Source organism: Homo sapiens, chromosome 1 (assembly GCF_000001405.40).
Source record: "Homo sapiens chromosome 1, GRCh38.p14 Primary Assembly".
Classification (NCBI taxonomy): domain Eukaryota; kingdom Metazoa; phylum Chordata; class Mammalia; order Primates; family Hominidae; genus Homo; species Homo sapiens.
In genome coordinates, this window is record NC_000001.11 from 220,617,961 (window position 1) to 220,631,616 (window position 13,656).

General features: G+C 37.9%; 1 protein-coding gene and 1 pseudogene across 11 annotated transcripts in view; both read left to right on the plus strand.

The window, feature by feature from the left end:
* Nucleotides 1-13,656, plus strand: part of MARK1 (microtubule affinity regulating kinase 1) — a 136,326-nt gene that overhangs the window by 89,825 nt on the left and 32,845 nt on the right. For 10 of the 11 annotated variants that reach the window (XM_017001305.3, NM_001286124.2, XM_005273134.6 and 7 more), the window contains 3 exons: nt 350-586; nt 676-795; nt 13,075-13,174. In XM_017001305.3, coding sequence (XP_016856794.1) covers nt 350-586; nt 676-795; nt 13,075-13,174 — 457 coding nt within the window. Of the gene's footprint in view, nt 1-349; nt 587-675; nt 796-1,010; nt 4,980-13,074; nt 13,175-13,656 lie in introns of those variants that run through there. The other variant, XM_024447090.2, reaches the window with a different exon arrangement.
* On the plus strand, nt 7,746-9,682 carry HDAC1P2 (histone deacetylase 1 pseudogene 2; annotated as a pseudogene).

Sequence of the window (13,656 nt, forward strand, 5' to 3'; positions counted from 1 at the left end):
CTTTAGAGTAGGTCATATTAAGGTACGCTTCCAGGATGTTTCTGACTGTGAGGAAAAAAATGAGTTTAAAATAACCTATGAAAGAAAATAGGTTTTAAATAACCTTTCTTAAGTAGTTGCATATATGCATATAAAGAGAGCTTTCCTTATGTAGTGTTAAAATTTAGTCTTATGTAGATGTAATTCAGAACAGTTATGCATTGAAGTACCATACTGGGCTTCTAAATTTGATACTACATTTAGAAATGAGGGGCAAGAGATATGTAAGTTTGGAAGCTAAAACTCTTTTACAAATATTTTTATTTTATGTAGGCTTTTTACATTGTTCTTTCTATTATTTTCCTCTTAGGCTGAAAACCTTCTCCTTGATGGTGATATGAATATTAAAATTGCTGACTTTGGTTTTAGTAATGAATTTACAGTTGGGAACAAATTGGACACATTTTGTGGAAGCCCACCCTATGCTGCTCCCGAGCTTTTCCAAGGAAAGAAGTATGATGGGCCTGAAGTGGATGTGTGGAGTCTGGGCGTCATTCTCTATACATTAGTCAGTGGCTCCTTGCCTTTCGATGGCCAGAATTTAAAGGTATCAGCTAAATTCTTTATTAATGTTTTATCCCCAAGTATGATTATGTCAAAAACCAGTTATAAGTGCTTTCTTTCACTTTTATTAAGGAACTGCGAGAGCGAGTTTTACGAGGGAAGTACCGTATTCCCTTCTATATGTCCACAGACTGTGAAAATCTTCTGAAGAAATTATTAGTCCTGAATCCAATAAAGAGAGGCAGCTTGGAAGTAAGTAAATTTTTGTACTCCAAATTTAAATTTTAACAATTAAAATATTCCAGGAACCGAAGAGCATTTTTCTCCTATGTTTTCTTAGGAAAATTGCCAAATTATCTAATCTGCCTTTTGTTTGTAGGTAGGGAAAATTACATGACTTTTTTTCACTTTCAAAAGTTGCCACAGTAGCTGTCTCTAAAAACTATTATTTCCTCTTTGTTCTGCAGTGCCGTATTAAATAAAAACAACACAAAAATAGAGGTTGACTTTTAGTTAGAGAAGGAGGAAAACGTAGCTGCTGTCAGAAATTGCTTTGTCGAAAACAGAAACCTTGTTTTTAGTAAGTACTCAATAAATATTTCAAGGATAAAAGAAAATAGTGAAAATTCTAATCTAATGAATATTTCACAGCTATATCTGACATTGATATCTAGCATTTAAAAATGTAGGGCTGGGCACGGTGGCTCACGCCTGTAATCCCAGCACTTTGGGAGGCCGAGGCGGGCAGATCACGAGGTCAGGAGATTGAGACCATCCTTGCTAACATGGTGAAACCCTGTCTGTACTAAAAATACAAAAAATTAGCTGGACGAGGTGGCACACACCTGTAGTCCCAGCTACTTGGGAGGCTGAGGCAGGAGAATGGCGTGAACTTGGGAGGCGGCGCTTGCAGTGAGCCAAGATCACGCCACTGCACTCCAGCCTGGGCGACAGAGCGAGACTCTATCATAAAAAAATAAAATAAAATAAAAATGTAATAGAAACCTCTCAACTTTAGTAAAGAAAATTTACAAATATTTAAGTACAACATACTGGAAACAGGCATTTCATTTCTTAGCACACTGTTGTGTTGCCTACATATGTTCTGTATGTGAGGTTATTTATAATAATAGACACTATTATAAATGGACTAAGTATGTTACAGCCAAGCAAGTTCACATAACCAAAATGTCTACTATTTTTTTTCTTCTGGCACTGCAATTAGAATAATTTATTTCTTAAGTATTTTGCCCATCTGTTTTTAAGAATGATATTTTAGCCTTTACTAAGATAATTTCAGAGATTCAGCATGCATTATTCACTAGTACTTTCTGTCTTCTTTTATTTACCTTAATAGAAAGGGTAGAGAATTCAGAGAATTAACCTCATATAAACTGTACTTTTTTAGTGTAGCAATGGGGCTTTCTGGCATGGACTTCATGCTGCTTAGGAGGCAGCCTTATAGTGAGCCATCCCTGTGTACAGAGCTCTCAGGTTAGTGTGGGCTTTGTAATTTTATTTCCACAAATATTTTTCAGTAGAGGATACAGCATGTTTTGATGGAAGTTAAGGGATGGCGACTTCCATTGGGAAATTATTTTAAATGCTTTGTGTCAGTTAGTCAATTATCATGATTTTTTTACCGAATTATTTGTTTAAATGTGATTAGTTATAGCTTATGAGTTTTGTGGGCTTTTCCCTCCTTATGGGGTTAAAAAAAATGAGTTAATGCTTTAATAGAGAACATGTACTATATAATGCCCACTTTTATATCACTTATTTTGAAAGCTTTCCATCATTATTCATAGAAAAATTAGGTGAAATATTTAAAAAGCTAAAATTTTTGACTCTCATATCAGTTCTAAAATAATGAACTTTAGAGAACATGTTTTGTAATCCTGTTTTGTGACTAACTTTTATCATAAGAACCCCACTTGACCTGAGTGACACAATAAAATGCTCAAAGTTGAAGCAGCAGCTTAGCTAATGAGCAGAGCAAAAAGAACATACAAAAATTATTTTGGGGGGATAGATATTACAGATCTCTATGGACAGTAGGTAAGATGTGCTTATGTCTTAAAGATGATTAATTTATAGTAGCCAAACACTTTAGTCTTTTATCATTATTATTAACATGTTGAGGATTAAAATATTAGAGTGCTTTGAGTTGAATTTAAAAGCCAAATTTTTATTACTAAAATATTTGATCATCAGAAGCTCATTCTAATATATTTCAGTATAGTCTGCAACTTTCTGTTCCAGCTTACCAAAACAAAGTTTTTCAGCTATGAAACCACGAGTCCCCACTGGAAATATTATATTATAGATATTACTATACAAAGGCTGATTTGCTTCACAGTTCCCAGAAATGACTTTCCAGGGAAACTTGACACCATTTTTTAAAAAAGAAATATTTCTTATACCATACCTTAAGAAACTCTCCTAGAAATATTGGTGACTTCAAAAATTGTTAGTCTTCACTTTTATTTTTCATACCAATTTTATTAGCTTTACAGTAAAAAACCTGTAAACTTTTTTAAAGCTATTTTCAAAATACTCATCTTTATTATGTAAATATAACATTTTATGTGTTAGTAATGTTTTATATTATGTTCCATTCTTTTTTTTAACCTTAGAAGCTTTTGATATGCACTTCTTGCTTTGTCATAAGAATGCACTCCTTCCTTTTTAATAGCTATGTTATTCTCCTTGGGTTACGTAACGTAATTTATTTAACTATTCCCTGCTTATTGCACATCTGAGTTGTTTCCATTGTTTTTGATAAAAAACAATGTGGTATACTTTTTTCCCCTTTGGGATATATGTTTAGATAAATTCTTCAGAGTGGAATTACTGGGTCAAAGGGTGTAAGTGATCGGATAGCTCTTTTATCATTGCCAAAAGATATGTGTGACCCAAGGCTTTTGAATGTACCTATTCTCCATACCCTGATTCAATAATGGATACAAATTCTAGTATTTGATGCCTCGCTTTAATTTGTATTTCTTTTATTAGCAATAAAATGGAATATTTTTAATGAATAGTTTGTGCTTCTTCATGTATAAGCTCTCAGTGTCTTTTAACTACTTGTCTTAAGGAGTCTGGTTAATAAGCCTCGTAGATTTGTACCAACTTTGTATATTTTAATATAAAATATTTTTCTGGTAATTTCCACATTTAAAAAAAATGGAACATCATGAATGTTTTTTCAGTGTTACTTTAGTGTCATGAATTATTGATTAGAGTATCCTCTAGTCTTTCTTCACTATATATTTTGCTAATATTGAAATTTGATTTAGAGAATTTTACATGGTTGCATATTGTTTCAAACTTATTTAACTTACCTTTCTGTTGCTACCAGACATAACTGTGTATTTTATTAAAGTGTTTCTTAAAGACTCATAAGTTAAATGCCTTATTTATCATCTGTGAAAATAAAAATTATTGAAATTAGTTTCACATTCTACTAGGCCTATAGTTTGTTTCTAGACATAAGCAAACAGTTATATAATTTTTTCAGGTTATATATGTGAATGCTGTCAGCTCTTTCTAATTGTACTAGTCTGGAACTTCCATGTGTTATACTGTCCTCTCATAATGAGGGCATTATGATTTTAAACGGATTTGTGCTTTATGTTGTACACTAGGGTTTTTTTTAACCCATTTATTGGAATATTAGTATGTCTAGATTTTTTTATTAGAAAGAAACTGAAAAACTTTTCTGCTTTCCCTGTTTTGTATGTGTTCATTCATTTTTCCAGTGTTTAACCAAGATGGACTATATTACCTTTCAAAACAATGCAAAATTTGAGCCTGAAGCAAAGCTCCTCTTATTGCCCTCTCTTTGTCGTCATTGGTCCTCCCATAAAAGTGTTTATTTTGACTTTTGATACTTAATTTTTCAGGTGTTACTAAAATAATCTTTACAGTCTTGTTTATGTCTGCCAAATGACAGTAAAGCAAAAAAATCAATTAATTCATAATTTTTTAATGAAAGATTTCTGTGTACAAATTCAGAAGCATATAGTATATTTTACAAAGGTTGAAATCATTTAAGTAAAATTATTTGTCTGGCCGTTCTAAATTCCATATTTTTAAAATGTGCACCTCAGGCCAGGCTTGATGGCTCATGACTGTAATCCAAATACTTTGGGAGGCCAAGGCGGGCAGATCACCTAAGTCCAGGAGATCGAGACCAGCCTGGGCAACATGGAAAAACCCTGTCTCTACATTAGCTGGGCGTGGTGTCACACATCCTGTAGTCCTAGCTACTCGGGAGGCTGAAGCACGAGGATTGCTTGAGCCCAGGAGGTTGAGGATGCTGTAAGCCATGATTGCGCCACTGGACTGCAGCCGGGATGACAGAACAAGACCCTGTCTCCAAATAAGATAAAATAAAATAAATGTGCATCTAAGTATAGAGTGTATATTTCCCATAGCTGGTTTAATTCTTTAATTCGTCTGAATTAATTATTTTGTTAATATAACTCTCAGGCAGTCATTTATGTTCATTGGCACTGATGGCTAGAGTAAACTTTGTTTTGTTAATTTTGGAATTGTTTTTGTCCTCTAGTTTCTCATGAGATACCTGAAATGAAATCGGAGTGGATGAGTTTATTCAGCTAGTTTCTATGTCTAGTGCAGTTGGTTGGCCTAGTTCTTTATACCATGCCTGAGACCACCCAGACTCGGGTTACATGAGCTCTCTCCTGTCACCCAGTACCTCCATTTTCTGGGAAAGTTTTTCCCTCGACTTTTAACGTTAACTCTTTTGGTTACCATGAAAGAATTTTACATATGCATGAGGTTCACACAACTAAGGGCAGGTAGTCCATATCTCTCTTCCCTTTCATGTATCCATACTTCGTTGCTTTCTATGCTTTATTTTGGAAAAAAATAACAGAGTTATTAACAGAGTTAAACCCCCACATCTTCCCTTTCTTAAGGAGATCTTCTTTCCAACCTTTATCTTCCATTCTGAGAAGATTACTTTTATTCTGCTTTGAAATACAACTGTTGTTGTGAGACAAACTCCTTAGTAGACTCTTGGTGATTCCCAGTGGCTAGAATAATAATAATAAAGGGAAACAAAACTGTTGATTCTCTCATTGCTGCCCAATTCTCTTTCTTTCCTTATCACTGCATTTTCTACTTTTTCTGACTCAGCCTAGCCTCAAATCTAGTTTTATGTGAGGATTAGCAGTCAGTCCTTCTGTGTCCACCTATTGTATTTTTTCCCGTGCTAATTATAAAATGTTGTATAAAATGTATTCTTTCATTGTATACAATCTGTGTGCTTAGTAAAAGAAGGGTGCCTCCTCACTGTTCCTCACATCCTTCTGCCATGACTTTGCACCATTCCAAATACTGCTTATATTTCAAATCAGTTTACATCCTGCCCCCTTACAGTTCCTTCCCTGAAAATCCCAGCCCACACTTCAAGTTGTTCTTTTGGTCTTTATTAAAACTCACTGCTAATAACACAACTTTAAATAGTTAATTCTGTTGTGTATTCAAATAGTTTTGGCTGACACCTGTAATCCTAGCACTTTGGGAGGCCCAAGGGGGCGGATCACCTAAGGTCAGGAGTTTAAGACCAGCCTGGCCAACATGATGAAACCCCGTCTCTACTAAAAATACAAAAATTAGCTGGGCATGGTGGCGAGCGCCTGTAATCCCAGCTACTCGGGAGGCTGAGGCAGGAGAATCACTGGAACCTGGGAAGTGGAGGTTGCAGTGAACTGAGATCATGCCACTGCACTCCAGCCTGGGAAACAGAATGCGATTCCATCTCAAAAAAAAAAAAAAAAAATAGGTTGGGCACGGTGGTTCACAGCTGTAATCCCAGCACTTTGGGAGGCCGAGGTGGGCGGATCACCTGAGGTTGGGAGTTTGAGAGCAGCCTGACCGACATGGAGAAACCCCGTCTCTATTAAAGATACAAAATCAGCCAGGCATGGTGCCCATGCCTGTAATCCCAGCTACTCCAGAGGCTGAGGCAGGAGAATCGCTTGAACCTGGGAGGGCAGAGGTAGCAGTGAGGCGAGATTGTGCCACTGCACTCCAGCCTGGGTGACAGAGCAAAACTCCGTCTCAAAAAAAAAAAAAAAAAGTTTTAGATTTCATAAGTAAATCTCATTTCCCCAAATAACAAACAAATCACTTAAGGGTTTGATCCATGTATATATTTTTTCTGACAGGAACATATGGATATGAAGTGAGCACCAAATAAATACAACTTAACTGAGAAACATCAGAAAGTTATTTTCATTTTCCTTCTAATTGCTTATCTCTCAGCTGTCAAATCTGCTATTGCTCCTATATTTCTTGCTTAATTTATAGAAACCATATTCTGCCAGGCACCTGATTTAAAATTCTCAGAACTCTCTTGTATTCCATCCATTCCCTCAGAACCAAATGAATCTTGTCATCAAGTGCAATAGATTATACTTCTGGTTTCTTTCTTCCATTTCTTCATGTCTAGTTCAGTCCTCTGTTCTCTTTCCTGGACGTTATAACAACTTCGTAAGGTGTCTTCTTGTTGCTAATCTCTGGATTCTGTCTTACCCAGGGATCTTGTAGCAACATTATTTTAAAACACTACCTTGTTCAAAAACAGGCATCTGTAGTGAGAGAAACAGTATATAAGGCACAGCCTTTGTCCTCAAGGACTTTAAATAATGTGAAGGAGATAAACCTCTACACAACTAACTGTAATCAAAGGTAGAGTTTAATAACAGTAACACTAGGATATAAGCAGAGTTCCATGGGAGCACAGGAGAAGGACAGATGAGTGATTAAGACGAGGTTTTATTCATTCAATTTACAAATATGTACTGACCATTTAGTGCTGGGTACTTTTAGGTGCTGGATATGCAATATTGAACAAACCAGACATGGATCATTCTTTGATTGGGTTTATGGTCCAGTGGTGGAGATACATGATTAACAGGTAAACCAAAATATTACATAACAACAAGCTACATTCAATTGTAGGCAAAGATCAGGGTGCCATGAAAGAGAGTAACAGAAAGGTCCCAGGCTTTATGTGGTCATTTTGAAATAAAAAGGAACTTAGGTGGGAAGATAGGGGAAAACATTCTAGGCAAATATCCTTGTCTTTTATTCCGCTGAGAAAATAGAAACCAAAAGTCATGAGTACTCTTCACTTACCATTCCCATACCTTAAACATTACTGTTGAGACCAACTGATGGGAGGGATGGAAGGCAAGCAAGATGACGCAGACACAGGGCACCAGGAGGAAAGTCTGTTACTACTACGACGGGGATGTTGGAAATTAATATTATAGACAAGACCATCCAATGAAGCCTCACCAAATCTACTACTCACAATTTGCTGCCCAGCTATGGTCTCCACTGAACAATAGAAATCTGTCACCCTCACAAACCCAGTACTGAGGAGATGACCAAGTACCACAGGGATGACTACATTAAATTCTTGCGCTCCATCTCTTCAGATACATGTTCGAGCACAGCAAGCAGATGCAGATTCAACGTCAGCAAGGACTGTCCAGTATTCAATGGCCTGTTTGAATTCTTACAGTTGTCTACTGGTGGCTCTCTGGCAAGTGCTGTGAAACTTAATAAGCAGCAGATAGACATCGCTGTGAATTGGGCTGGGGGCCTGAACCATGCCAAGAAGCCTGAGGCATCTGGCTTCTATTACATCAATGACATTGTCTTGGCCATCCTGGAACTGCTAACCTATCACCAGAGGGTGCTGTATATTGACATTGATATTCACCACGGCGATGGGATGGAAGAGGCCTTCTATACCACAGACTGGGTCATGACTATGTCTTCTCCTAAGTAGGGAGAGAACTTTTCAGGAACTAGGGATCTACAGGATATTGGGGCTGGCAAAGGCAAGTATTATGCTGTTAACTACCTGCTCCGAGATGGGATTGACGACAAGTCCTATGAGGCCATTTCAAGTTCAGTGCTCTTACAGTGTGGCTCAGACTCCTTATCTGGGGACTGGTTAGGTTGCTTCAATCTGATCATCAAAGCACATGCTGGCCTGTCGTGGTGGCTCATGCCTGTTCTCAGCATTTTGGGAGGCCCAGGCAGGAGAATCACTTGAGGTCAGAAGTTTGACACCAGCCTGGCCAACATGGTGAAACCCCGCATCTACTAAAAATACAAAAATTAGTCAGACATGGTGGTGCACTTCTGTAATCCCAGCTATTCGGGAGGCTGAGTCATGAGAATCGCTTGCACCCTAGAGGCGGAGGTTGCAGTGAGCTGATTGCACCAGGGCACTCCAGCCTGGAGAACTGAGTGAGACTCCATCTCAAAAAAAAAAAAAAAGGGTTGAGGGGGGCATGCCAAGTGTATGGAATTTGTCAAGAGCTTTAACCTGCCTATGCTGATGCTGGGAGGAAGTGGTTCCAATTTGTAATGTTGCCTAGTGCTGGACATATGAGACAGGTGTGGCCCTGGATACAGAGATCCCTAATGAGCTTCCATACAGCGACTACTTGGAATAGTTTGGACCAGATTTCAGGCTCCACATCAGTCCTTCCAGTATGACTAACCAGAACACGAATGGTACTTGGAGAAGATAAACAGCGACTGTTTGAGAACCTGAGAATGCTGCCCCACAAACCTGGGTCCAAATGCAGGTGATTCCAGAGGATCTGTCCCTGAGGAGAGTGGCGATGAGAGCGAAGAAGACCCTGACAAATGGATCTCGATCTGTTCCTCTGACAAACGAATTGCCTGTGAGGAAGAGTTCTCTGACTCTGATGAGGTGAGAGAGGGTGGCCACAAGAACTCTTCCAACTTCAAAAAAGCCAAGAGAGTCAAAACAGGATGGAAAAGAGAAAGACCTAGATGAGAAGAGCAAAGTCACAGAAGAGGAGAAAACCAAGGAGGAGAAGCCAGAAGCCAAAGGGGTCAAGGAGGAGGTCAGGTTGGCCTGAGCAGACCTCTCCAGCTCTGGCTTCTTGCCAAGTCCCCTGCCTTTCTCCACCAACACCTCAGATTTTATGCTTTCTATTTCTCTGTGTATTTATAGGAAAGTTTATTAAATATAAATATCCCCAGGGACTAGACAGAAACCAAGGCCCTGAGCCCAGGGCAGCTATGCTGGGTGAACTCTTCTAGGAGCTGCCTTGCCACCCATCCTTCCATCCTTCCCCAGTTCTTAACTTTGAACCATAAAGAGTACCAGGTTTGGGTGAAAGGGATACTTTCATGCAACCATAAGACAAAATCCTGAAAATGCCAAATGCCTGCTTAGTAGCTTTGGAAAGGTACCCTTATTGAACATTCTAGAAGGGGTGGCCAGGTCTTCAAGGGTCTCCCGTTCTTTTCAGGCTGCTAATGTAACATCAGCCATTTTTAGATTGGCTCTGTCCTCATACCTTCCCAGTGGCCTCAGGTGAGCCAAGAAACTCACACTGCCTGCCCTTTGTCTTCCCCTAATTCTGCAGGTGGAGGTTGGTGGTCTAGTTTCCTTTTTGAGATACCGTTTTCATTTTTGAGACCTTTGTAATAAAATGGTACATTTCTATACAAAAAAAAATAACTGTTTAGACCCCATCTCTCCCCACTGCTTGTCACAGTGGAAAGATGTCTTTTGTTGAAGACTTCACTCACTCATCTGTTTGCTGTATCTGGTGACTACCTTCCTTCTCAGTATCTCACCCCTTCAAAAAGGCTCTCTCCTGTAACCAACTGAACCTTATCTCTATCGACTCCTTTTCCTCAGCTTTTATACATACGTGAATCTCTTCCACTAAAAAAGGCATCCTTCAACCTGGCAATCCCCTTTCAGTGCTGCCATCTTGCTCCTCCTTTGTAGTGAGCCCTTTTGAAGAGTATCTACACTTAAACCATCACCCATTCCTCACCAATCCATTTACTTTCTGGTTCCTAGTGCCACCACTCCACTGAAACTTCCCCCAGCAAAGTCCCCCATCTCTGTTGCTAAACACAAGGGGCTACTTATTTAGGCGTCACCTTATTTGACCATTTGGCTATATTTGACAGGACTCTCCTCTTCGAACTCTTTCCTCGCCTTCCATGTCATGCTGTGCGGGTTTTTCTTCTTGGATTTCTTTTCTTTCTAACCTTTAAATACTAGTGTTCCTTGAGGCTGTAATCTGAGCCCTCTTCTATTCATTCTTACACTATTCATTCTTCCTGGAGAATCGCACCCACCCCACAACTTTTGTACAGCATCCTCTGTAGGCTAAGGATTCCTGAGTCTCAATCCCTAGCCTTCCAAGAAAATATGAATTCTCTAGAAAGTTTAATTTAAAAATGTATCATGTGGCTGGGCATGGTGGCTCATGCCTATAATCCCAGCACTTTGGGAAGCCGAGGCAAGCAGATAACTTGAACCCAAGAGTTCAAGCCTGGGCAACATAGTGAGACCCTGTCTTTAAAAAAAAAAAAAAAAATCATGTGATGATGACTGCTGGAAAAGCCTCCAATCCAGCACAGCAGTATTCTTAAGAGATTCCAGTTGTTAGAGATCTTCCCTGGATTTCTTATTTTCTGGTGATTAGCTTTAGGTAGATATTAATAAATGAGGGGAAGGTACCTGGGCAGTCAAGAAATTAGCCTTCAAAAGATATATATATGGGAAGTTATTTTTCTAATTAGTGGAATATTGGCAAGTAAAGTTTAAAGATGGAGAATGTACTTTACAGGACCTGGAAAAAGCAATTAATATATCAGCACCTAAAATGAAAACCTAAAATTCTGTAGTAATAAAAAGTGAACAATCTTTCTAAATTAATACAGAATTATTCAAATAAGTTTCTTCCAGTTTTCCATTGCCTGACCATGAGTATAGTAAATTCTCTACAAGATTGCCTTTTTTTTTTTTTTTTGGTGGTGGTGGTGGTAAAAAACACGTAACATATATTTACCCTCAACAACTTCTAAGTGTGTATCACAGTGTCGTTAACTATGTGTACATTGTTGTACAACAGATCTCCAGAACTTTTTCATCTTGTGTGACTAAAACTCTGTACTCATTGAACAAATCCCCATTTCTCCCTCATCAGCCCCAGCAATCACCATTCATCTTGTGTGACTAAAACTCTGTACTCATTGAACAAATCACCATTTCCCCCTCATCAGCCCCAGCAATCACCATTCTATTATACTTTATGTTCCTATGAGTTTAACTACTTTAGATAATCTGTATAAGTAGAATCATGCAGTATTTGTCTTCTGTGATTGGCTTATTTCACTTAGCATAATGTCCTCAAGGTTCATCCATGTTGTAACATATAACAGGATTTTTTTTAAGGCTGAATAATATTTATTTGTATTTATGTACCACATTTTCTTTATCAATTCATTTGTCAATGGACATTTAGGTTCCTTCCACATCCTGGCTTTTGTGACTAATGCTGCAGTGAATATAAGTTTCTGAATATCTCTTTGATATTCTGCTTTCAGTTTTTTTGGATAAATACCCAGAAGTGGGATTACTGGATCATATGGTAGTTCTATTTTTAATTTTTTGAGGAACCTCTGTACTATTTTCCATAGCAGCTGCACCATTTTAGATTCCTGCCAGCAGTTCACAGGGGTTTCAGTTTCTCCACATGCTCACCAACACTTGTTTCTTGTTTTTTTGATAGTGGCCATCCTAATGAGTATAAGGTGATAGCTCACTATGGTTTTGAGTTCCCTGATGACTAGTGATGTTGAGCATCTTTTCACACAGCAAGCATGCTTGTTGGCCACTTATGTATCTTTTTTGGAGAAATATCTGTTAATTACTTTGCCCATTTTTTATTCAGGTTATTTGTTTTGATGTTATTGAGTTGCAGGCATTCTTTACATATTCTGAATATTTACTCCTCATCCAGTATATGTTTTGCAAATATTTTTCCCATTCTCTAGTTGGCCCCCACAAGGTTGCCTTTTAACAGCCCAGGACTGTCTGTTATTTCACAGCCTTAGCTTAATCTGACTCTGGTAATTCACATCAACCCCAGCTTGATTCTTACCTAATTCCTAACTCTAGACTTAAATTTTGACTGCCTTCCCTTCCCACATTATCTTAGCTATCTTTATTGATAGCTTTACTGCCAACCCTGATTTTCATTCCCCATGACCTCTTCTTTACTAATATTTTAGTAAATGATGATTTTAAAATAAGGCATATATTTGGCATAAAACAGGAAAAAATTATAATCTCTGTATTAATCTTAAATGTAAAAATCTGAAACAGAAGTTAAAATCTGTTTTATAAGAAGTAAATTCTTATGTTAAAATATCCAAATTTGAAAATATTCCCTTTGAAGGAATAAGAGAGGCATGCTATTTTGAATCAATGCATTTGGTGAGTGTGTAGGGAGATAGTCATAGTTGTTGTGTGTGTCCCAAAGTCTTACACCTCTTTTTGGCCCACTAATCAAACTAGAAATGTCACATGAAACTTCTTGAGTGAACTAGTAATTTTACATTTGCTAAAATAGAGCTATAATAAGTGGCTGAATGTTCTGATTGACCACACATAATGTAGAGTTTATTTCCTAGCAAATAATGAAAGATCGATGGATGAATGTTGGTCATGAAGAGGAAGAACTAAAGCCATATACTGAGCCTGATCCGGATTTCAATGACACAAAAAGAATAGGTAAGTATTTAAACATGGTAAGAAGTGCTGTCCCTAGGCAACAAGTAAGAGTCCTTTAGTGTGCCAAAATAGTGTTTAAGAGTATAAATAGGAAGCAATTTTTATTTGAAAAATACTTGCATTGTCATTTTAATGATAATATGCTGAAAATTATACATTTCAAGTTCCCTAATTTGTTCCCATATATATTATGGTCTAATTCAATGTTTGACAACAGTGATATAAAACCTAATGTAAATAAATCGAATTCTTTCCTTTCAGTGATGCCCAGCAGGAGGAATGGCTGATGTAACTATCAGCACTGATCAGACTGATAAGCATCAGCGAACATAGCATGTATTTTAACCAAAGACATAGAGGCACCGAATTAAGAGTTGAACACTTTGGCTCTCCCTTTCTTTTTCCACTGTCTTAGCAATGTTTATTCTCCCTCCTCACTCGTCCTGCTACTGCCCATACCCAACCAGAGCTCTCCTTCTAAC